This window comes from Homo sapiens, chromosome X, assembly GCF_000001405.40.
Source record: "Homo sapiens chromosome X, GRCh38.p14 Primary Assembly".
In the NCBI taxonomy this organism is placed as follows: domain Eukaryota; kingdom Metazoa; phylum Chordata; class Mammalia; order Primates; family Hominidae; genus Homo; species Homo sapiens.
The window spans coordinates 154271161-154295565 of NC_000023.11; the positions used below are offsets into that span (position 1 = coordinate 154271161).

Here is a 24405-nt window from a genome sequence, read left to right on the forward strand (position 1 = left end):
AGAGGGTGCAAGGGGGATAAAGAGGAGAGAGCGCTTCATAGACTTTAAGTTTTCCCGAGCCTCATGTCTACCGATGGCGTGAAAGGATCCTGGCAAAACAGAAGTGTGAGGCAGGTGGGCGTCTATATCCATTTCACCAGGCTGGTGGTTACATAATCGGCAAGCAAGAGCTGTGGAGGGGCTTGCTGGATGCCCTCAGCACCCAGGAGGAGGGAGGGAGCTAGCAAGCTAAGGCAGGTGGCCCTCCTGGCCCCTTAAGGTCCATCTGCTGGAGGCCCAGAGTCCTTGGAGTACAGTCTACACCTGGAGGGGACCCATTCCTGCCAGTCTGTGGCAGGGATGGCGCGCCACCTCTGCCAGGCCAGGACCCCAAGCCCGATCAGCATCAGCATGGTGCAGGTGCACAGGCGTGAGCTGATCAGTGACGAGGGGCAGGCACACAAGGTGGAGACAAAGACCAAGAGGACGGTTGCCAGTGAGAGGCGCGGACTCAGGAACTTGAACAACATCTGCGGGGGACGGCTTTGGAGGTGCTCCGCTGCCTCCAGTTGGGTGACTTGCTGTAGCATCTCCAGCTTGGATATTCGGCTCTTGAAGGTCTCCGTGATCTCCTGCAGGAGACGAAAATGCACGCACCAGAAGTCAGCACAGAGTTGTGGTCGTTTATTGAGTTCTTAGGGGTGAGCAGAAAGCACTGTGGAGTGGGTATTCGAGGAGGGAAGCAGAGAGCCTAGAGCACATTCAGGGCAGAGGGGAGGGCGCAGGCTCTCCAGCAACAGGGAAAGCTTCATCTGACCCGGCTGCACTCCCCCATCCACTGTCTCCCGAAGCTGAGGACCTGGTCAAGACACAGCTACCCAGGGACGGGGGTGGGCGCTATGGGAATGGAAAAGTGAGGAGAGGGAAGCCAGGTCTAAGGAGGGGTTCTGAGAGGGCGCTCCCTACACCTGCAGCCGCAGCAGAAGCAGCTCCACCCCAGATCTCCCGAGTCAGAGGCTCACGGGTGAGCACTGCAGCACCAGAGTGGCAAAAGCAGCTAAGCCAGATGGTGGGAAGCGGAGCGTGAGTGTAAAGATCAGATGCTGCTAGCTCTGAAACAAATGTGTGTGGCCATCGAACCCTCAGGAGGGGGCAGCTCGAGGACCCGTGTCTTGCTTTGGTTTGGGGGTATCAGAATAGATTCGCTCATCCCTCCAGTCTTCTTGCAAGGCTCCCCCAGGAGGTTCTCACCCATATTTCCTTGGCTCTCTCATAGGATAGATAGGCCATTCTCTCTTCGCTGCAGGCCAGATTGTGTTTGAGGTTGTAAATCTCATTCAGCTGTCCCTGCAGGCGACCATTCACCTGTTCTTCCATCAATGCTTGCCTTGGGAGCAAAAGAGAAAGTGAGATTCCTTCAGTACCTCATCCAGAGCTCATGCCAACAGCGAGCGGTCCTGACCTAGACTAGATTCGGGTTCAGCTTCTGCCTTCCTCCCCGCTCCCCAGGCTCTAGGGAAAGCCTGCCTCCCACTCCAGGTCTGCCTGGGAACACCCCAAACACACACCAGCCACACGCACACCAATATTCATATATATTTTATATGTAGTTACTCTTTTGTAACAGCTTTACAAAAATAGCCACAGACTAGAAGTTGTAGAAATGACAGTGTGAACTATCTGTGTGTGCTCTTCAGTTCCGCAAATCCCCCAGGACCAGTGTTGAGCACGAAGTCTAGCCTGCAGTTTAGCCTGCAGTTACTCTATAGAAACATGGTGACTATAAGGATTGAAAAGCCACAAAAGACCACAGATTCCAGTACAATTCCATTAGTTACGAAATGTCCAGAATAGGCAAATCCATAGAGACAGAAAGCAGATTAGTGGGTGCCAGGGGCTGGGGGTGGGGGATGGGCAGTGGCTGCTAATGAGTACAGGGTTGCTTTGGGGCTGGTGAAAATATTGTAGGACCGGGCACGGTGGCTCACGCCTGTAATCCCAGCACTTTGGGAGGCCAAGGCGGGCGGATCATGAGGTCAGGAGATCGAGACCATCCTGGCTGACACGGTGAAACCCCGTCTGTACTAAAAATACAAAAAAAATTAGCCGGGCGTGGTGGCGGACGCCTGTAGTCCCAGCTACTCGGGAGGCGGAGGCAGGAGAATGGCGTGAACCCGGGAGGCGGAGCTTGCGGTGAGCAGAGTTCACACCACTGCACTCCAGCCTGGGCGACAGAGCGAGACTCCGTCTCAAAAAAAAAAAAAAGAGAATATTGTGGAATTAGATAGTGGTGATGGTTGAACAACTCTGTGACTATACGAAAAACCAGTGAATTGTACACTTTAAATTGGTGAATTTTATGGGATGTGAATTATATCTCAATAGAGCCGTTATTTAAACAAAAAGAGAAAAGTGAATCATGGCAATAGTTGCGCAACTCAGTAAATTTACTAAAAACCATTGAAATGTAGTTAAAATGGTGCATTTTATAATATGTAAATTATATCTCAATAGAGCTGTTAAAAAACCACAAGCAGGCCAGGCGCAGTGGTTCACAGTTGCAATCCCAGCGCTTTGGGAGGCCAAGGCAAGGGGATTGTTTGAGGCCAGGAGGAATTCAACACCAGCCTGGGCAACACAGTGAGACCCTGTCTCTACAAAAAAAATTTTTAATTATCTGGGTGTGGTGGCACGTGCCTGTAGTCTCAGCTACTCTGGAGGCTGAGGCAGGAGGACCTCTTGAGTCCGGGAGTTCGAGGCTGCAGTGAGCTGCCATCACGCCACTGCACTCCAGCCTGGGCAGCAGAGTGAGACCCTATCTCTAAAAGAAAACAATCACTACCTGTTGTGTATATAATTATATAAGTAGTAAAAGTATAAAACCATGCATGGAAAAGATAAGCACCCAAATGAGAATGGTGAGGCCAGTATAGCAAGGCCAGAATAGCAAGGAAGGGAGATGGTGCTGGAAAGGGGTAATGAGGGCTTCAACAGAATATTTTAAAGTTTTATTTCCTAAAAAAATAAGATTTGAAGTGAATATGGCAAATGTTAAGATTTCAGAAAGCTGGGGCTGTTAATTATGTTATCCTTACATTTTCCCTTTGCTTGAAATACTTCATAATTTAAAAACTTCTATGAAGTTCCCCTTTTGGCACCACAAAGAACGGGCCAGAAGGACAGAGGCCAGGGGGCCAGTGAGGGGGCTCTGGCACCACCGCTTACGTAGAAGAGAGAAGGCACCAGAGCGTGATGGAACCCATAGACTGGCAGGGCTGCCGCCCCAGGAGGCCCAGGAGGGTGGCGGCAGGCCTCAGGTGCAGGAGGTCTAAACGGTGGTGCTGACAGAGACGGGGAAAACAGTGACGACTTCTATTCGGTCCCACTCCAAGGACTTGACCAACACCCACACGGAGAAATCCCCCGGGCACTGAATAAGCTGACAGCTCATTTGTTGAAAGCCAATTTGTCAAAAGCTGGTTCCTCGCAGCATTTCAAGGAATATTCCATTTGTCTCTGCCCCAGGTCCCTGTTAAGAAGAGAGTCGGTGGACAACATGGACTAGGCCACTGCTCACAGAGAGGGGGAGTGGGTCGGCAGGATGGTCACCCCGAAAATAGATTCCTCATTACTGTCTTTCCATTTACATGAATGATCTAGCTGTGAGAACATTCAAGATTTTAACTGTCCTCAGGAATATGAAGTCAATCTTCATCAATGTATTGGTAAAGATACATGAAGATATTCTTCAGTGCATTCTTGAAGAGTCTCTTCAGATGTCAGTAAACAATATTTTCATAAGGATATTCTCTCAGTCTCCCCTTCTCTCTGGCCCCCATCTCCTGGCCCTCTGGCAGCCGCGCTCCCTTCTCTTCCTTGGTCAAGGACCCCCCTCTCTCCACCTCCTACAGTCACAGAAGCAAATGGACAACTCTGGAGAATGCTCTTATGAACACAAAACGATGACCAGTCAACCCAGACACCCTCAAGACAGACCGAAGGTGTTAAGACCACCCTCTCCAACACAAAGTGTTCTAAACTTTATTGTTTTTTTCAAAATAGTGTTGTTGTTTTTTTTTTTTGAGACGGATCTCCTTCTATTTGCCCAGGCTGGAGTGCAGTGGCACGATCTTGGCTTGCTGCAACCTCCGCCTCCCGGGTTCAAGTGATTTTCCTGCCTCGGCCTCCTGAGTAGCTGGGACTACAGGTATGCGCCATCATGCCGGGCTAATTTTTTGTATTTTTAGTAGAGACAGGGTTTCACCATGTTGGCCAGGCTGGTCTCCAACTCCTGACCTCAGGTGACCCGCCTGCCTCGGCCTCCCAAAGTGCTGGGATTACAGGTGTGAGCCATTGGGCCCAGCCAGAAAGAGTATATTCTTGGTCATTTCTGAGAATTTGCTTTTGGCAAATTGAGCTAGAGCCTAATCATGGCCCACAACTTGGAGGAAAAGTCTGAGACGGAGAAACAGCTGTAGGAGGGGTCAATAGCCCAGGTGCAATCGGTGCATGTGGCCAGGATGGATGAGCTCACTCTGAGCAAATGTGCCAAAGCAAGGGGCCCTGGGGAGCTGGGGGAAGAGCCAACAAAACAGAAGCGAAAGCAGGAGGAAATTCGCCAGGACGGCTCACACAGGAACCCAGAGGATGTAGGGATACAGTGGAAAGGTTGAACATACATGTAACTGGGGCCTTAGAAGGGGAAAAATGAGAGACTAGGGCAGAGTCACTATTTGAAAATATAATGGCTGAAAACGTCCAAAACTGACAAAAGACATCAAGCCATAAACCCAAGTAGCAATGCGAAGCCCAAGCAGGATGAATGCAAAGAAAATCACACCAAGGGGAGAGTCAGCGGCACAAAAAAGAAGAGAGAAAGAAAATCACGCCAAACATCATCATAGCAAAACCACTAAACAACAAAGAAAAACAAAAGATCTTAAAAGGAGCCTGAGGAAAACAAAACTGTGATCCGAGGAGCAACAAGAAGACTGGCAGCTGCCTTTTCAACAGAAACCATGGAAGTCAGAAGGGAATGATTTGTTCAAAATGCTTATTATTTCCAAAAATTAAGTGCCAACTTAGAATTCTATGTCCAGCAAAAAATATCCTTCAGGGCCGGGTGTGGTGGCTCACGCCTGTAATCCCAGCACTTTGGGAGGCCGAGGCAGGCAGATCACGAGGTCAGGAGTTCAAGACCAGCCTGGCCAACATGGTGAAACCCCGTCTCTACTAAAAATACAAAAACTAGCCGGGCGTGGTGGCACATGCCTGTAATCCCAGCTACTGAGGAGGCTGAGGCAGGGGAATCGCTTGAACCTGGGAGGCAGAGGTTGCAGCGAGCCGAGATCTCACCATTGCACTCCAACCTGGGTGACAGGGTGAGGCTCTGTCTCACAAAAAAAAAAAAAAGAATTCCTTCAGAAATAAAAAGGAATGATGGCATGTGTGAGGCAATAAGGTGACAGTGACTGCATATTTAACATTGTGGACTTGTTTTAAAACATTTTTGGTATGGTATTTAGGCTATGTTAACAAAATGATCCATATTTCAGGTTCACACTGAAATATTTACAGATGAACTGATATAATGTCTGTGCTTTGCTTCAACGCAATAGGGATGAGAGGAACCAGTTCAGAGAGCAGATCAGACCTTAGGTCAGACCTCCTCAGAGATCCCAAGATGCAGGATGCTGTGACATGGAGGAGAAGTCGGGGAAAAAATGGAAGTTAACACGACCCCAGCCTGCAACAAAGCCCTAAGCAGATACCTTGAGGAAAGTCAGCCCGAGGCTGGATCCCTGGGGCTGAGAGGTCACAGAGCAACACTGAAGCCTCTAGGAACCATAGCCTGTTATCTCCAAGCCTCGTCTGAAAGCGAAACATACCAGAACAGTCTTGGGACAGAGGAGCTAGGGTCTGGATGCCCCCAAGGACCTCGTGTCCAGGAGGGAAAGAAAAACATGGAGACCTGGCATATTCACTTCCGGGCGTTTTCAATATGACAGGAGGCTATAAGAAAATTTCACGACTGCCCACTTGTGGATACAGCCAGAAATACAAAGCAAGAGTGAAAGTTTTGCCTACTCGGCACCTGAGTAGCTTCTTTTTTATTCAATTTTTATTGAGGTAAATTTCATGTAACATAAAATGAATTATTTTAAGGTGAACAATTCAGCGGCATTTAGCACATGTGGTGTTGTGCAACCACCATGGCTATTAATAGTTCCAAGACATTGGCCGGCTGCAGTCATGCCTGTAATCCCAGCACTTTGGGAGGCCGAGGCGGGCGGATCACGAGGTCAGGAGATCGAGACCATCCTGGCCAACACGGTGAAACCCCGTCTCTACTAAAATATGCAAAAATTAGCTGGGCGTGGTGGTGCATGCCTGTAATCTCAGCTACTCAGGAGGCTGAGACAGGAGAATCACTTGAATCCGGGACGCAGAGGTTGCAGTGAGCTGAGATCAAGCCACTGCACTCCCTCCAGCCTGGGCAGCAGAGCAAGACACCACCTCAAAAAAAAAAAAAAGCCATTAACAACTTTCTTTCTTTCTTTCTTTCTTTCTTTCTTTCTTTCTCTTTTTCTTTCTCTCTCTCTCTCTCTCTCTCTCTCTCTCTCTCTCTCTCTCCCTCTCTCTCTCTCTCTCTCTCTCTCTCTCCTCTCTCTCTCTCTCCTCTCTCTCTCTCTCTCTTTCTGTTTTTTTTTTTGAGACAAGTTCTCACTCTGTCCTCTATCACCCAGGCTGGAGCACAGTGGCACAATCATAGTTCACTGCAACATAAAACTCTCGGGCTCAAGCGATCCTCCTGTCTCAGCCTCCCATGTAGCAGGGACTACAGGCATGTGCCACCAAGTCCGGTTAACACTTTTAAAATTTTTTGCAGAGATATGGTCTCACTTTGTTACCCAAGCTGGTCTCAGACTCCTGGGCTGAAGCAATCCTCCTGCCTCGACCTCCCAAAGCACTGGGATTACAGCCATAAGCCACCACATCTGGCCCCATTTTTCTTTACGATCTTTCAAGGACTTAGTTTGCACATAGGAAGCAGAAAGGAATTGTAAATTCAGTTCCATCAGCATCTACTTGGGGCTTACACACAAGTATTAATTAATTCTCACAACAGTTCCAACAATAGTGGGATCATTTTTACCTCCATGTTACAGATGTGGAAACTGAGGATTGCAAACTTGAAGCACCTCGTCCAAGGTCATTCAGTAAATACCTTGCAGAGAGGAGGCTGGGCCAGGCCTAAATCCAGAATCAGCCCTCCTGGCCCTGCCCTGATGTTCCCAAGACACAGCAGATAGAGTTCTGACATACATGGAGGAGGGAGGCAGCCCAGAGGGCGAGCTGGGTCCCTTCAGGAAGGGAGGAAAAGCAGCATCCAGACTGATCCATGAAACAGGTACTCACAGAACAGCCATCATGTGCCAACATGTCTTTGGGCAGTCACTCAGACACAGTGGCCGACCTGAATGTGCTGATATTTTGACGAGAACAATACAACACAAATGAATACCTACACAAGGGAGAGCAGTTTAGGCGGTGAGTGCTGCGAGAAAGGAAAAAGTAGGGGAGTGACAAAGACTGGTCCGGAGTATATAAAGAGCTCTGACAACTCAACAATAAAAAGACAATCCAAGTTGAAAACAAGCCAAAGACTTATTGGCTGATAAGCACATGAAAAGGGGTTCAGCATCATTAATCGTCAGAGGCAGGGTCACACACCCACTAGTCTCATGGGCTAGGATACTGGTTCTCAACCAGGGGCAATTTGCCGGCCCCCCCCTCCCCAAACAAGGGACATTTGGCAATCTCTGGACAGACATTTCTGGTTGTTACAAATAGGTGGGGCACGGTAGGCTAAAATTGCCCCCCTAGGCTGGGCACGGTGGCTCACATCTGTAACCCCAGCACTTTGTGAGGCTGTGGTGGGCAGATTACCTGGGCTCAGGAGTTCAAGAACACCCTGAGCAACAGGGTGAAACCCCGTCTCTATGAAAAATACAAAAAAATTAGCTGGGTGTGGTGGCACGCGCTTGTAGTCCCAGCTACTTGGGAGGCTGAGGCAGGAGAATTGCTTGAACCCAGGAGGCGGAGGTTGCAGTGAGCCAAGATCGTGCCACTGCACTCCAGCCTGGGTGACAGAGAGAGACTCTGTCTAAAAAAGAAAAAAACAAAAAGCCCCTCCGCAAAAGATATCTGTGTCATAATCCTTGGAAACTGTGAATGTTACCTTCTATGACCAAAAAAGGGGGCTTTCCAGAAGTGGTGAGTTTAAGGGTATTGAGATGCAAAGATTATCCTAGATTATCCTGGTGGCCCTAAATGCAATCACATGTATGAGAGAGAGGCAGAAGGACATTAGACACACACAGACGAGAATGTCATGTGAAGACAGAACACAGGTTTGAAGATGCTGGCCTTCAGGACAGGAATGATGTGGCCACAAAATTAAGGAATTTGGCAGCCACCAGAAACTGGAAGAGGCAAAGATCAGTTTGTCCCCTAGAGCCTCCAATGAGTGTGTGTCCTCCTCGCCTGATTTCAGCCCAGTGAAACGGATTTCGGCCTTCTAGCCTCCAGGACTGCGAGAGAATAACTTTCTATTATTTTAAGCCATGAAGTTGGGGGCAATTTGTCACGGCAGCATCAATTAATTCACGGCACCACTGGCATCAAGTAAGTGGAGACCAGGGATGCTGCTCATCATCCTAGAATGTACAGGACAGCCCCGCACAACAGAGAATCATTCGGTCCAAAATGTCGACAGTGCCAAGGTCGAGAGAACATGGGCTAGGGTGATGAAATTTTGGAGTCTAATTTCACCAAGTTGTGGCTGAACTTAAGAGGCTGACATTTAAAAGACTGATCTTGCCAAACGTTGGCAACTGGAACTCTTATACACTCCTAGCGGGACTGTAAAATGGTATAGCCATGTCGGAAAACAGTTCCTCTTTTTTTTTTTTTTGAGATGGAGTTTCACTCGTTGCCCAGGCTGGAGTGCAATGGCACGATCTCGGCTCACCGCAACCTCCGCCTCCTGAGTTCAAGCGATTCTCCTGCGTCAGCCTCCCGAGTAGCTGGGATTACAGGCATGTGCCACCACGCCGGGCTAATTTTGTATTTTTAGTAGAGACAGGGTTTACTCCATGTTGTTCAGGCTGGTCTCGAACTCCCGACCTCAGGTGATCCGCCTGCCTCAGCCTCCCAAAGTGCTGGGATTACAGGGGTGAGCCACCGCGCCCGGCCTTCCTCTTTCTTAAAAAGTTAAGCATACTGCTATGGGGTACATGTCCCCCCCAAAACTCGTGTTGAAATTTAATGGCCATGTGATGGTGTTAAGGGGTGGGACTGGTAAGAGGCGATTAATATTAATATTGTTATCATGAAAGTTTGGCCCCCGCTCGCTCTCTCACGCCCTCTTGCCCTTCTGCCTTCCGCCATAGGATGATGCCGTACAAAGGTCCTCACCAGCTGCCAGCGCCTTGACATTGAACTTCCTTTCTTTATAAACCACCCAGCCTGCGGTACTCTGTTACAGCAACAGAAAGTGGGACTAAGACACATAACACTTCCCTGTTATCTAGCAATTCCATATATGAAAGCATATGTTCACAGAAAGACTTGTGCGAGAACGTTCATAGCAGCTTTATTCAGTCGCCCCAACTGGCAGCGGACCAGGGCATAAGCAACCTGCGGCGTCTCCATGCAATGGAAGGCTGCCAAGCAATACGAAGCCATGAGCTACTCACTTCACACAGCTTGGGTGGATCTCAAAACAATTCCACGGAGCGAAAGCCGCCAGACACAAAGCACTGCGTGCCGTGCGATTCCACTTACGTGAAGTTCAAAAGGAGATGAAGCTAGAGTGACAGAAACCGGAACAGTGGCCAATTATGGGAGACGGGCATTCACTGGAAGAGGGTATGAGGGTACTTTCTGGGGTGGTGGCAAAGCTCTTTATTGGGATTTTAGCTGCCCAGGTGTAAACCTTTGTCAAAACTCGTTAAACTGTATGCCTAAACTTAAATGCAATTTCACTGCATAAAATTTACCTCAAAAAGGCCAGGCGCGGTGGCTCACTCCTGTAATCCCAGCACTTTGGGAGGCCGAGGCAGGTGGATCGCCTGAGGACAGGAGTTCGAGACCAGCCTGACCAACATGGAGAAACCCCATCTCTACTAAAATTACAAAATTAGCCAGGCGTGGTGGTGCCTGCCTGTAATCCCAGCTACTCGGGAGGCTGACGCAGGAGAATCGCTTGAACTCAGGAGGCGGAGGTTGCAGTGAGCCGAGATTGCGCCATTGCACTCCGGTCTGGGCAACAAGAGCAAAACTCCATCTAAAAAAAACAAAAAAACAAAAACTTTACTTCAAAAAACCCCGCTTCCAAAAGAATAAAAGAAGAGGCCATTTGAACGTGGTAGCCTGGGAAGTCCCTTTGAGGAGAGGACATCAGAGCAGAGCCTAAAGGACAAGCTGAGTGTGGGAGTTTCCTCTGGCTGCCATCACAAAGCGTTACAAACTTTGAGTGGCTTTCCCAGCAGAGATGGCCTCTCTCCTGGCTGGGGGTCCAGCAGTCCGAGAGGAAGGCCCAGGCTGGGCGGGCTCCTGCCGAGGACCGAGAAGGCGCCTCCACTCGGGGCCTCTGTCCCAGCTTCTGCTCTGCTGCCCACCTGCGGGCTTCCTTGGCTTCTGCCACGGCAGGTCGGCCTCAGCCTCTGTCTCCACACGGCGCTCTCCCTCTGGGTGTGTCCGTGTCTCCGTCTCCCCTTTCTGTCAGGACACAGGTCACACTGCATTAGGGCCCACCCCTCTGCAGAATGACCTCATCCAGATCTAACTCATCACGTCCGCAACGACCCTGTTTCCAAATAAGCCGGTTCCTTGTCACCAAGTGGAGCCTTCAATGAGTTGATGCCAAGGCAGGTCTAGGGAACTAGAAATGGGGCAAGAAGCAATGTCCTCCAGCCAGGTGTGGTGGCTCACACCTGTAACTCCAGCACTTTGGGAGGCCGAGGCGGGTGGATCGCTTCAGGTCAGGAGTTCGAGACCCCTGGTCAACATGGCGAAACCCCATCTCTACTGAAAAATACAAAAAGTAGCCAGGCATGCTGGCGTGTGCCTGTAATCCCAGCTACTCGGGAGGCTGAGGCAGGAGAATCGCTTGAACCCGGGAGGTGGAGGTTGCAGTGGGCCGAGATCGTGCCACTGCACTCCAGCCTGGGGGACAGAGTGAGACTCCATCTCATAAAAAAGACAAAAAAAAGAAGCAATGTGCTCCTCACAGTCGGGTTTTCTCCCAGGACCATTTTACTCATCCAACAAAGAACAAAGATGTCCCAGCAACCCATCTACCCCAGGCATTGACCACTCGGGCTACAAAGGTGAAGGAGGAGGGTGGGGCTGGGCAGGCTGGGACTGGCTATGGACCCCAGAGAGTAAAGATGGTTTTGCTGGCACCATACCCCCAACTCCAGGACTTGTCCATGCCCTGTCTACGGGGCCAAGACTGAAACCTGACTGCCTTTCACCATCAAGCAGAAGTCAGCTGCGCATCCTGTAAGAGATGGGGAAGGACCCCCAAGACCCTCCCAGAGCCCCCTGGCTCATTAGGAGGCTAGAGGGGGCCTCCTGCAACTCTGCATGCAAGGTGCCCAGATGAGACCTGGCCAGTCGAGACTTTTACTTGAAGGCTCCCCATGCCTTCCTGGGGTGCCATCTCTTCTACCAATGAACATTTTCTGAGTTTCTCAAGCCTTCTTTCCTCCTGACCCACGAAGAAACTGAGGGACCGGGGCCTTCTGGTCCCCCAGGAGACTGGCTTGTGCTGAGGAGGTAGGCCGCTCACTGTGCATCTTCTCGGAGATCTGAAGCTCCTCCTATTTCCACAAGAAAGAAAGGGAAGCTTGGCAAAGACCCTTCCATCCAGAATCATCAAGTTCGCGACGCCCGTGCTTCTCCTCAGCACACAGAGAGGAGAGTTACCAGGGGCCTCAAGCAACTCCAGCGGAAGCAGTCACAGTCCTTCCAGGACCCAGGAACGTCCTCTGCAAGGACCTACAAACCCAGACCTCATGAAGGAGGAGACCCCAGGGCCAGCCCCAAGCCTCCTGAGTCTAATTGTTGCTGTGATAGAGACCCTGCACGTCGCAGAATCAAAAAGAATATATTGTGGGTTTTTTTTTTTTTACCACAATCAATTAAAAAATGCATTAAAAAGTAAGAACTGTCCAGGCACAGTGGCTCACATCTGTAACCCCAGTACTTGGGGAGGCCGTGGCCAGGTGTTCAAGACCAGCCTGGGCAACATAGCAAGATCCCATCTCTACAAATAATAATAATTTTTAAAAAGTTAGCCAGGCATGGTGGCACATGCTTTGTACTCCCAGCTACTCGGGAGGCTGAGGCAGGAAGATCGCTTGAGCCCGGGAGTTCAAGGCTGTAGTGAACTATGACTGCATGCAGCCTGGGCAACAGAGACCCTGAAGAAAAAGAAAGAAAGAAAGAGAGATAGAGAGAGAGAGAGAGAGACAGAGAGAAAGGAAGAAAGAGAAAGAGAGAAAGAAAAAGAAAGAAAGAGAGAGAGAGATGGAAAGAAAGAGAGAAAAAGAAAAAGAAGAAAGAAAGAAAGAAAGAAAGAACTTTTGCCTATCCAAAGACTCAGGAAAAATAAAAAAGAAAGCCAGCCCTCATAATGAGATACCACTTCACAGTTACATCTGTTGGAAAAAAAAAAAAAGGATAACAACAAATGTTGGCAAGGATGTGAGGCAACTGGAAGCCTTCTGCATTGCTGGTGGGAAGATGGAGCTGCGCGGCTGCTGTGGGAAGACTCCTCTAAACGCTACACCTGGAGTCACCACGGGGTCCAGCAATTCTACTCCTGATTATAGACCCCAAAGAATTGAAAACTGGTGTTCAAACAACTGGCATGTATCTGAGTGTTCAGCGCAGGGCTTCTCACAATAGCCAAAAGGTGGAAACAACTCAAATCTCCATCCACTGATGGACAGATAAACAAAATGTGGTCTACCCATGCACTGGAATATTAGTCAGCCGTCAAGAGAATGAAGTACTGATACGTGCTACAACATTAGTGAACCTTGAAAACAGTGAAAGGAGCTAGACACAAAAGCCCACATATCGTATGGTCCCATTTATATGAAAAGTCCAGAAGAGGCAAACCCACGGAGACAGAAAGCAGATTAGGGAACGCCTGGAGCCGAGGCTAGGAGTGACCGTGTAGTGAGTCTGGAGGTCTCCTTCTGGGGTGATGAGAATGTTAGACAACCGGACAGAGGTGATGGTTGAACCACACTGCAGATGTACTTAATGCACTGAATTACATGCTTCCAAATGGTTAATTTCACATTACGTGAAATTATGTGAATTCTACATCAATTTTTTTAAGTAAGCCCTTGTCATAAATGCGTTTAATACAGTTGCTGCCTCAGCATCCAACTTTAGCAGTTGTACCCTGTCACCTTTGCCCTAGATAACACCCCTCCCTCCCTGTCATGTGATTGTTTGCGACATAGCCCACGTGGTCCTCGCCTCACTGACCCAAAACCCAACACATCCCACGGCTGCTGACCACGATAAGACCTAATGCTCAACACCAGAGTCATGTAAATCAGTTTCCTCCTCGTGCATGTTTTCTTTAAACCAGCCAATCCACAACCCCCGCAGGAAAGCCTGTGGGATCACTTCACACCCTGTGACCTTAATACAGGCACAGCCCCGGAAGCTTCCCCGCCCTTCCGTTCTGGGCTTCGCTGTTGCACAGCTGATGAGCTCAATCAGCTCCCTGCTGCCTCCAGACTTCCCCTCTGCCTCCCATCAGCACACCTAACATCTCTTCGATCTGAGTCATACATTTCTTTTTTTTTTTTTTTTTTTTTGACACAGGGTCTTGCTCTGTCACCCAGAATGGAGTGCAGTGGTGCAATCATGACTCACTGCAGCCTCAACCTCCCGGGCTCAAGGGATCCCCGCTCCCGCTCAGCCTCCTGAGTAGCTGTGACTACAGGCACGCGCCATCACGCCCAGCTAATTTTTTGATGTTTTTGTAGATACCGGGTCTCACTATGTTGCCCAGGCTGGTCTCAAACTCCTGAGCTCAAGCAGTCTGCCCACCTCAACCTCCCAAAGTGCTAGGATTACAGGCGTGAGCCCCCACGCCCAGCCCATTTCTGCTGTTTCATGCATTTTCGTCTGCCTCCTCACTGTGGCTCCCCTGACACACACATCCGAACCTAACTTTCCCACGGGTCAGGGATCTCCTAGAAACTGGGTATCTCGGCTATGGCCACTCTCAGTAGAGACATGCCGAGACCAAATTAAAAAGAAACCATAATGATAAAAACCACAACAGCCCTCCTGAAAGCAAACGGATTTAACTGTGATAAACAGCACAGGACTTGCAGTATGGATTCTCAGTTTGTGATGCACCAGAGGGGACGCAACAGTCACAGGGAGCCTGGCTGGTTGAAACACTTCTGTGTCCAGATCATGTAAAAGTTTTGAAGAAGATTTTACGGAAGTATATGTTTTTAAAATGCCATGAACTCCTGTGTCCCCTGCATCTAACTTAGCCACACAGCCAGGGTGTGGTGAAATGCTCTCAGGTCCGCACTTAGCAGCCACGTAGCCTGCTTGTGCCTCCGTGAGACTCTGCTTCCCCAACCATAAAGTAGGCGTCTGAGGGCCAAAGAACAAGGCTGCTTAACCTGGTGCCCCAGCTCAGTTACGAGCCCGTGACAACAGTGAAAAATCATCAGCAGCCCTTTCTCCTCCTGTAGACCTGCTTGGGCCCTGTAGACCTGCTTTTCTGCTCACGATGAACATTAGTAAGGGTAGGCTCGCTGCTGCAGCAAACAACCAGACATCCCATGTCACAGTCCAATGGGGGGTACCGGGTCAGAAGTGCAGGCTTCTAGAATTTGCAGCAAAAGTCTGAGAGGGGGAGAGACAGAGGTATTGCCCTGCTCCCCGGTAGTCACCGCTGTATCAAGAGCGGGCGAAAGACTCGGATTTGAGAGGGGTTAAGAGTTTACCTGAGCACAGCATTCTCATTGGCCCCTGTGGCTTGGAAACATACGGGGAAGTTTGTAACTGCCACCAAGTTCTGCTGTTGCTTAATAGAAAGCTGACCGGGTAAGTGTGATTTTCACAAAAGGGTCTTTGATGCTCCCAAGATTTTAGATTTGGTTGCCATGTCCTATGAAAATAATCTGCAAGAGACGCCTGTGACTCTGACTAGTCATCTCATTGACAGTGGTTGCCCTGTAATATTCTTTGATTGTCCTTTAACAGATTCTTAGGCCATGTAAACGCTGGCAAGATTTCCCTGGGGAAACTAAAGAGGATGATTCCCACACGCCGCTTCCCCTGCATCAGGCACTAAAAGGACTGCGGAGTTCTTCTTTTCATGCAAATGCTGAGAATCTTGGCTCACCTAAGGGAATCGCTGCCTCCCTAGCCAGGACGCTGGAGGGACTGGCGTTAATTAGCCACAGACTGCAGCGAGGGGGACAGAATGTGGCACCCCCTGAGGGCCCATGGAAACCCAGAGAACGGTCCCAATAGGAATGGAGAGAATCCGTTGAGAGATTGGGTTTGCCTTTTTTTTTTTTTTTTTTTTTTTCCTCCAATTGGTAGGCCCTAGCCTTATCTTAGAGGGAAAGAAAATCGAGCTAGGGCAGGGTGAGGTGGCTCACACCAGTAATCCCGGCACTCTGGGAGGCTGAGGCAGGCGGATCACGAGGTCAATAGATTGAGACCATCCTGGTCAACATGGTGAAACCCCGCCTGTACTAAAAATACAAAAAATAGCCGGATGTGCTGGTGCACGCCTGTATTCCCAGCTACTCGGGAGGCTGAGGCAGGAGAATCGCTTGAACCCGGGAGGTGGAGGTTGCAGTGGGCCGAGATCGTGCCACTGCACTCCAGTCTGGCGACAGAGTGAGACTCCATCTCAAAAGAAAAAAAAGAAAAAGAAAATCGAGCTACTGCACGGTGCGGAGAAAGCATTCACCAGAAGGCAGTCATTTTTGAAATAAGTATCTGAGACCCGGCCTGTGCCCCAGCTCAGCTAGGAGCACATGTGAAGAGACCAGAGCTGGCGAGGCGACTCCGGTCCTGACTCCCACCTTCCCAGCCGACTGGGACCAAAGGACGCCACCTCCCTAACTAGTGCCAGGTGTCTACCGGACTCTTGCCACCCCCATGTTGTCCCCTGCCACCACAGGGTCAGGGCCAGCCGCTATGCCGCTGCAACCACCCGGCAGGGGCTGCCAAGCTGGAGCATTTTCGCTAGCAAGGGTCAAGGCAGGTGTGGGACTGCAGGGAGAGGGCTGGCTCGCCCCACTGCAGGGCCCAGTCGCTAAAAGAAGCATGGACCTGCTCTTCCAACTGGCCCCTCACCCTGGCTCTCCAGGCTCCTGTCCTGGCTCCCTTTCACCCTCCCATAGGTGGCTCCTGGGAGCGGTTCCTCCTCTGCTTCCAGTCCCCAGAGCCAAGGCCTCACCTACACTTCTCCTCCTGAAGGGACTCCAGCAACAGCTGCAGGTCAGTCAGAGACCTCTCCTTTAGGCTGTGATAGGACTCCTGGAGGCTGATGTGGAACCTCTTGGCTTCTTCCAGCTCTGCCTTTACCTTCTGCAACAGCAGGTTTTGTTGCTGGGCCACATCCTCTGTCTCTAAGCACGTCCCCTGCTGTAAGCTCTGGAAGCGACTCTCCAAGATGAAGGGCCTGCTGGCATGAGGCAGGTTGACCGGCCCGTCTTCCCCACCTGGCTCGGGGGGCTCTGAAAGCAGGGCCTTCTCACTGGGTGGCTCGCAGTTGGCTGGGTCGCTTTCTGCCATCAGCAGTAAGCCCTCGGGCCTGCAGCCTTCCTCCAGCTCCTGGAGCTGCTGGTGACACTGGTGGAGCCTGTGCTCGATCTGGGCGATGGTGGCAGAGGCGCGCTGGTTCACCTTCTCAAAGGCCTGCTGGATGTGCGGCACCTGGTGCCGGTCTGCTTTGGATACCAGCTTGAGGTAGCTCACAGTGTTGCCATCCCGACTGGCCTTCTCCACTCTCAGCTGCTCTGAGAGGTAGAGGATGCGGTGCCTGACACTATCCTGTAAGTTGTGGGCTAGGCCTCCATCTGCGAGGCTGGAAGGGCCACTGGGGCCGTCTTCGCTGGATGACAGGGACCGGCATGAAGGCACATTGGAGGGGAGGGTTGCGCTGGGGCTCCTGGTGTGTTCCGCCTACGTTGGGAAACAAGAAATCACAATACGGTGCTCTGTGAGCCGCAAAGTGTGGGAGAATTGGACACGTTATGACTCCATAAAACACTTCCACATATGCATGGATACTTACACACGCAAGATTTGTGCATTCAAGATGGGCCCGACACAGACTGAGGAGGTGATGCTCATCTTCAGGGCCCCTCTCCCCTCCTTTTCAGCGTCTGACTCCTTGCTCTACATGTGTGCCTCACTAAGACCCACAGGTGGCCAGACTCCCTTCTACATCTGCCTGTTTTTGCACTGCACTCCTATTTTCTCTTCCAAAAATTACCAATTGTGGGTCTCATTTATAAAGAACTGTTCTTGTAAAGTATGGAATAAGCTTATTTCCGTCAACTCTTACAGCTTGCTGTATTGCTACTCCCAGGGAGACAGGAAGGGTTAGGCAGAGAGATTTGCCTCCTAACAGGTTCATTCATTCATCCAATCATTCATTCAACACATACTTTCTCTGAGTGCCTACCACGTGGTACAGAAGCCAGATACATTCCTTGATCTCATACAGCTGACAGTCTACGGCAGAAAATTCTACTGTAACACAAAAGAATGAGTCTCTCACATGGTGAGGGGATTAACATTGCCTTTGACGAAGAGCCCAGTTCAAATCCTGGCTCTACCACTCTGAGACCTTGAGCAAGTTAATAAACTGCTCTGAGGCTCAGTTTTCTTACCTCTAAAATAAAGATGGCAAGAGCAGCATAGCTGGAACCCAGCCCACCAGAGCAAGGAGCTAGGAGAGGGAGGTGGGGGGCAGCTCAGGTGCAGCCTCTGTTCCGTTTCTACTTTTTTGTTTTTTGAGACGGAGTCTCACTCTGTCACCCAGGCTGGAGTGCAGTGGTGCAATCTCGGCTCACTACAACCTTCGCCTCCCGGGTTTAAGCAATTCTCATGGCTCAGCCTCCCGAGTAGCTGGGATTACAGGTGTGCATCACCACACCCAGCTAATTCGTGTATTATTAGTAGAGACAGGGTTTCACCATGTTGACCAGGCTGGTTTCCAACTCCTGACCTCAAGTGATCCTCCCGCCTCGGCCTCCCAAAGAGTGCTGGGATTACCGGTGTGAGCCACTGCATCTGGCCTATACCTCAATTTTTAAAATGCAAAGTGATACCACTATGTACCCAGTAGATTGGTCAAACTCAGACAGACTAACAACAATAAGAGTTGGCAAGGATATAGCGCAACAGGAACTCTCAATCATTACTGGCGGGAAGCAAATTTGTACTACAGCCACCTTAGAAAACCACTTGACAGTATCACAAAGTTGAAGATATACCTACCAAATGATCCAGCAACTGCATTCATAGGCGATATTCCCAGGAGGCAAGTACACTGATGTTCTCAATATCCAACAACTAGCAACAAACCACCTGCCCAGAAAGTGTAAGTAAACTGTAATATATGCAACAACATACTACTGTACAGCAATGAGAATGAACTACAGCCTTGAAAAACATGAATGCATTTCACAAGCATAATGTTGAACAAAAGAAACCAGACAGAAAATCCATACTATATATGGTTCCATTTACATAAATTCCAAGAGCAGGCAAAACTAAACAATATTGTGTAGGGATGACTACACAGGCAGGAAAGCTAAAGAGCAGCATGGATGTTGGCAACAGAAACCCCAGGATGGTGGTTCCCACTAGAGCGGGAGAAGGGGATTATGACTGGGGTGACTGTGGAGGCTGGGGTGCCTGGCCTGAGTAGTGGTTAAATGTGTGTTCACCTTATCGTTACTTCTTAAAACATACATCAATGTTTTCTGCACCTTTATATACATATGCCAGATTTCACAGTTTTCAAACTATTTAAATGTTCAATATAGGCCAGGTGTGGTGGCTCATGCCTGTAATCCCAGCACTTTGGGAGGCCGAGGCGGGCGGAGGTCAGGAGGTCAAGACCAGTCTGGCCAACATGGTGAAACCCCGTCTATACAAAATACAAAAAAAAAAAAAAAAATGCCTGGCACAGTGGTTCACACCTGTACTTCCAGCACTTTGGGAGGCCGAGGCGGGCGGATCACCTGAGGTCGGGAGTTCAAGACCAGCCTGACCAACACAGAGAAACCCCATCTCTACTAGAAATACAAAATTAGCCAGGCGTGGTGGCACACGCCTGTAGTCCCAGCTACTCGGGAGGCTGAGGCAGGAGAACCGCTTGAACCCGGGGTGCAGAAGTTGCAGTGAGCTGAGATCGTGCCACTGCACTCCAGCCTGGGTGGTAGAGTGAGACTCCGTCTCAAAAAATAAATAAATAATAAATAATAATATGTTCAATTGATGGATTTAATGGCAGATTTGATATGGCTGGAGAGACTGTTGGTAAATTGTACAGAGGAGCTAAAGAAAGTATCCAGGCCGGGCGCGGTGGCTCACACGCCTGTAATCCCAGCATTTTGGGAGGCCAAGGCGGGTGGATCACCTGACGTCAGGAGTTTGAGGCTAACCTGACCAACATGGTGAAACCCTGTCTCTACTAAAAAATACAAAAAATTAACTGGGCATGGTGGTGGGCACCTGTAATCCCAGCTACTTGGGAGGCTGAGGCAGGAGAATGGCTTGAACCCAGGAGGCAGAGGTTGCAGTGAGCCGAGATCACGCCACTGCACTCCAACCTGGGCAACAAGAGCAAAACTCCATCCCAAGAAAGAAAGAGAGAGAGAGAGAGAGAGAGAGAGAGAGAAAGAGAAAAGAAAGAAAGAAAAAAAAGTATCCAGAATGCAGCACAGAGGCACAAAAAAATAGAAAACTTGAAAAATAGAAGACATGGAAGGTAGCATGAGTAGGTCTAACAAAAATCCAATTGTCACACCAGAGAGAGAAGACAGACAGAATGAAGCAGCAGCAATATATACATATTTTTCTTCTTTTTTTTTTAAATTGAAATGGAGTCACACTCTGTTGCCTAGGCGGAGTGCCGTGGCACAATCTCGGCTCACGGCCGACCTCTGCTGCCCGGGTTCAAGCACTTCTCGTGCCTCAGCCTCCCGAGTAGCTGGGACTACAGGCGCGTGCCATCACAGCTAGCTAATTCTTTTGTATTTTTAGTAGAGATGGGGTTTCATCATGTTGGCAAGACTGTTCTCGAACTCTCAACATCAGGTGACCCACCCACCTCGGCCTCCCAAAGTGCTGGGATTACAGGCATGAGCCACTACGACCGGCCACAGCAGCAACATTTTAAGAGATAACTCCCTAAGAACTTTCCAGAACTGAAGAAAGACACAAATTCACAAATTCAAGAAGCCCAATAAATCCTAAGCAGGGAAGACAGAAATAGGTCCACACCTAGACACGAGATTTTTTTTTTTTTTTTTTTTTTTGAAACAGTGTTTCGCTCTTGTCGCCCAGGCTGGAGTACAGTGGCGTGATCTCGGCTCACTGCAACCTCTGCCTCCCGGGTTCAAGCGATTCTCCTGCGTCAGCCTCCCAAGTAGCTGGTACTACAGGCGCCCGCCACCATGCCCAGCTAATTTTTGTATTTTTAGTAGAGACAGTGTTTCACCATGTTGGCCAGGCTGGTCTGGAACTCCTGACCTCAAATGATCCGCCCACCTCGGCCTCCCAAAGTGCTGGGATTACAAGCATGAGCCACCGCCCGCGGCCGACACAAGATGTTAAAAGCAGCCAGAGGAAAAAAAGCTGATTACCTTTAAAACCATGACTTTTAGACTGCAGGCTGCCTTCTCAATAGCATCAATGCAATCCAGAAGATAGTTGACTGATATCTTCGATACACTGAGAGAATAACTGTCAGAGAGAAAAAAATAGGTCACATTCAAAGAATCAGAAGTCAGAATGGCTTCAGACTTCAGCAACAGCATGGGGAACTAGAAGACAATGAAGTGCTGGCCGGGCACGGTGGCTCACACCTGTAATCTCAGCACTCTGGGAAGCCCAGGCAGGCGGATCACTTGAAGTCAAGAGTTTGAGACCAGGCTGGCCAACATGAGGAAACTCTGTCTCTACTAAAAATACAAAAATTAGCCAGCATTGTGGTGGGCGCCTGTAATCCCAGCTACTCGGGAGGCTGAGGCAAGAGAATCGCTTGAACCCAAGAGGTTGCAGTGAGCCGAGGATCACTCCCCTGTACTCCAGCCTGGGCGACAGAGCAAGACTCTGTCCCAAAAAAAAAAAAAAAAAAAAAAAAAAAAAGACAATGAAGTGCTGCTTTCGAAATTCTGAGGGAAAAATGATTTCCCAGCCTAAAATTCTACACCCCAACTGTCAACTGTGGGGTTAGACTAAAGACATTTTTAGACATGAAGGAGTTCAGTACACCACTGACAAATGTAAGAATTCAACAACTGTTTAAAAAGCAAGTCTTGCCAGGGCAGTGGTGTGCACCTGTGGTCCCAGCTACTCAGGATGCTGAGGCAGGAGGATTACTTGTGCCCAGCAAGTAGAGGCTGCAGTGACCTGTGACTGTGCTACTGCCCTCCAACCTGGGTGACAGAGTGAGACCTTGTCTCAAAAAAAAAAGAGCGGGGGGGGGGGGCCGGGCCGGGCGTGGTGGCTCACAGCTGTAATCCCAGCACTTTGGGAAGCCAAGGCGGGTGGATCACTTGAGGTCAGGAGTTTGAGACCATCATGGTCAACACTGCGAAACACTGTCCCTACTAAAAATACAAAAATTAGCCGGGCATGGTGGCACACACCTGTAATCCCAGCTACTGGGGAGGCTGAGGCAGGAGAATTGCTTGAGCCGGGGAGACGGAGGTTGCAGTGAGCCGAGACTGCGCCACTGCACTCCAGCCTGACTGACAAGAGTGAGATTGTCTCAAAAAAAAAAAAAAAAGTAATCACTAGAAAAGAAGCTACATATGTACATAACATCCAAATAACCAAGAGGAGAAAAAAATGGGACTTGATTAATCAAAACAAAAACAAAAAAGAAAGAAAGAAAGGGGGAGAAAAAAAAACAAGGGCTGGGTGTGCTGGCTCATGCCTGTAATCCCAGCACTTTGGAAGCCAAGGTGGGTGGATCTCTTGAGCTCAGGAGGTCAAGACCAGCCTGGGCAACATGGCGAAACCCCGTCTCTATTAAAAAAAAAATTAATACAACAATTATCCTGGAGTGGTGGTGCACACCTGTAGTCCCAGCTACCCAGGACGCTGAGACGGGAGGATCGCTTGATCCCGGGGATGTCGAGGCTGCCATGATCGCACCACTGCCCTCCAGCCAGGGTGGCAGACTGAGACCCCATCTCAAAAAATAAATAAATAAAAGCAAACAAGAAAAAAAAAGGCTTGAAACATATCTGATAGATAAAGGGCTAATCAACACAATATATAAAGAACTGCAAATCAGTAAACTAAGAGCAAATAACCCAATATAAAGACATTAAAGGGTAGCCACGGACATCTCAGACGACGAAAAACAAAAGACAGTAAACGTATAATAAAACATGTAATTGCAAGGTGATCCGGGAATAGTAAGCGAAAAGCAACAATTAAATACTATTTTCTCATCCACCAGAACGCCAAAAATTAAAAAGCCTAACAATGTCCAGGGCTGGCGAGAATGTGGCAGAAGGTGATGTCACATACCCTGCAAGTGGGAATCTAAACAGATTCAGGGTTTTGGTTTTTTTTTAATCGCAATTAGGTGGCCTGTTAAATTTTTTTTCTTGAGACAGAGTTTTGCTCTTGTTGCCCAGGCTGGAGTGCAATGGCTCGATCTTGGCTCACCGCAACCTCGACCTCCCAGGTACAAGCGATTCTCCTGTCTCAGCCTCCCAAGTAGCTGGGAGTACAGGTATGTGCCACTACACCCAGCTAATTTTTTTGTATTTAGTAGAAACGGGGTGTCTCCATGTTAGGCTGGTCAGGAACTCCTGACCTCAGGTGATCCACCCACCTTGGCCTCCCAAAGTGCTGGGATTACAGGAGCGTGTGCCACTGTGCCCAGCCACTTTTTTTTTTTTTTTAGACGGAGTCTTGCTCTGTCGCCCAGGCTGGAGTACAGTGGCGCCATCTCAGCTCACTGCAACCTCCGCTTCCCGGATTCAAGTGATTCTCCTGCCTCAGATTCCCATTAGCTGGGATTACAGGTGCCCACCACCGCCTGGCATGGTGGCTCACACCTGTAATCCCAACACTTTGGGAGGCCGAGGTGGGCAGATCACCTGAGGTCAGGAGTTCGAGACCAACCTGGCCAACATGGTGAAAACCCGTCTCTACTAAAAATACAAAAAATTAGCCAGGTGTGGTGGCGGATGCCTGTAATCCCAGCTATTCAGGAGGCTGAGGCAGGAGAATCGCTTGAAGCCAGGAGGCAGAGGTTGCAACGAGCTAAGTTCGAGCCACTGCACTCCAGCTTGGGCGACAGGGCGAGACTCCGTCTCAAAAAAAAAAAAAATGTAAACACACATTCCCTTTAACCCAGCAGAACATGGGAACCCAAGGGCATTCAGCCTGTGGCGCGACCAGGCGGCCTGACTTGAGCTCACGTAGAAATTCGGCATTTTTGAACCAAGAGACAGCACTTGGGATCCGGAATGTCTGGACTTGGGCACGGCGCTGTGGAGCTGGCGCCGTTGGGAGCCATGCGAGTTCTGGGTCGGTAGGTCACCTCAGAGGTGGGGAGAAGGTTCTCTGAGACCGACATGGGGGCTAGTGCTGGCACCACCGGACATGGGGCATTTCAGACACAGGGCGAGCACATTCCCTAGTTACCAGGGTTCATTCGAGTCAGTCACGTCACAGGCTGGCAATGGGCTAACTCCTCCTCAACAATCACACGGGGCTTGCCTCATAGAATGTTTTAAAAAAGGAAAGGAGGCTGGCGCAGGCGCCAACCGTCTCAGAACCCTGAGCACTGCCCCACCCCCACCCTGCCCGCCATAGCCTGGGCTGTTGTGGGGGAGGGGTGACCATTTATCACGAAACAAAAAATTGCGCCACAGCAGCTCCCTCCCTCCCCCACCTTTACGGTTGCAGCTGCACGTCCCACGTGCAGCACCACCCCCTGACACGTGCGGCACCACCCCCTGACACGTGCGGCACCACCCCCTGACACGTGCGGCACCACCCCCTGACACGTGCGGCACCACCCCCTGACACGTGCGGCACCACACAGCTAGTGCCGGAACTTTTTGTGCAGAGAAA

General features: G+C 49.8%; 1 protein-coding gene across 5 annotated transcripts, besides 1 other annotated feature; it reads right to left on the minus strand.

The window, feature by feature from the left end:
* Positions 1-104: 104 nt before the first annotated feature.
* TEX28 (testis expressed 28) lies at positions 105-24051 on the minus strand. Of its 5 annotated transcripts, none has more exons than XM_011531118.3 (6): positions 23974-24051; positions 20946-21045; positions 18571-18660; positions 16520-17247; positions 1231-1366; positions 105-611 (listed from the first exon to the last, which is right to left on the minus strand). In XM_011531118.3, the coding sequence occupies exons 3-6, from the start codon at positions 18589-18591 to the stop codon at positions 255-257; spliced, it is 1242 nt and encodes a 413-aa protein (XP_011529420.1). In that variant the 5' UTR covers positions 18592-18660; positions 20946-21045; positions 23974-24051; the 3' UTR covers positions 105-254. The 5 variants fall into 5 exon arrangements, with proteins under 5 accessions (XP_011529420.1, XP_011529419.1, NP_001192130.1 ...); XM_011531117.1 differs by lacking the exon at positions 23974-24051 and adding an exon at positions 23870-23964; NM_001205201.2 differs by lacking the exon at positions 18571-18660.
* Positions 23826-24327: an enhancer, noted in NCBI's record as "H3K4me1 hESC enhancer chrX:153523339-153523840 (GRCh37/hg19 assembly coordinates)". NCBI's record gives its function as "activates a minimal SCP1, AML or CMV promoter by ChIP-STARR-seq in primed H9 embryonic stem cells {active_cell/tissue: H9 hESC(primed)}" and the evidence as "EXISTENCE:reporter gene assay evidence [ECO:0000049][PMID:30033119]".

Excerpts from the sequence above, each read along its gene's own strand:
- TEX28 (XM_011531116.1), bottom strand. The coding sequence starts at position 23,845 with ATGGCTCCCAACGGCGCCAGCTCCACAGCGCCGTGCCCAAGTCCAGAC. Across the intron at positions 21,046-23,747 it reads CAAAAATGCCGAATTTCTAC|TTATTCTCTCAGTGTATCGA; the intron begins GTGAGCTCAAGT and ends TCTCTCTGACAG. Across the intron at positions 1,367-16,519 it reads CTTCAGGAGGAGAAGTGTAG|GCAAGCATTGATGGAAGAAC; the intron begins GTGAGGCCTTGG and ends TTTGCTCCCAAG.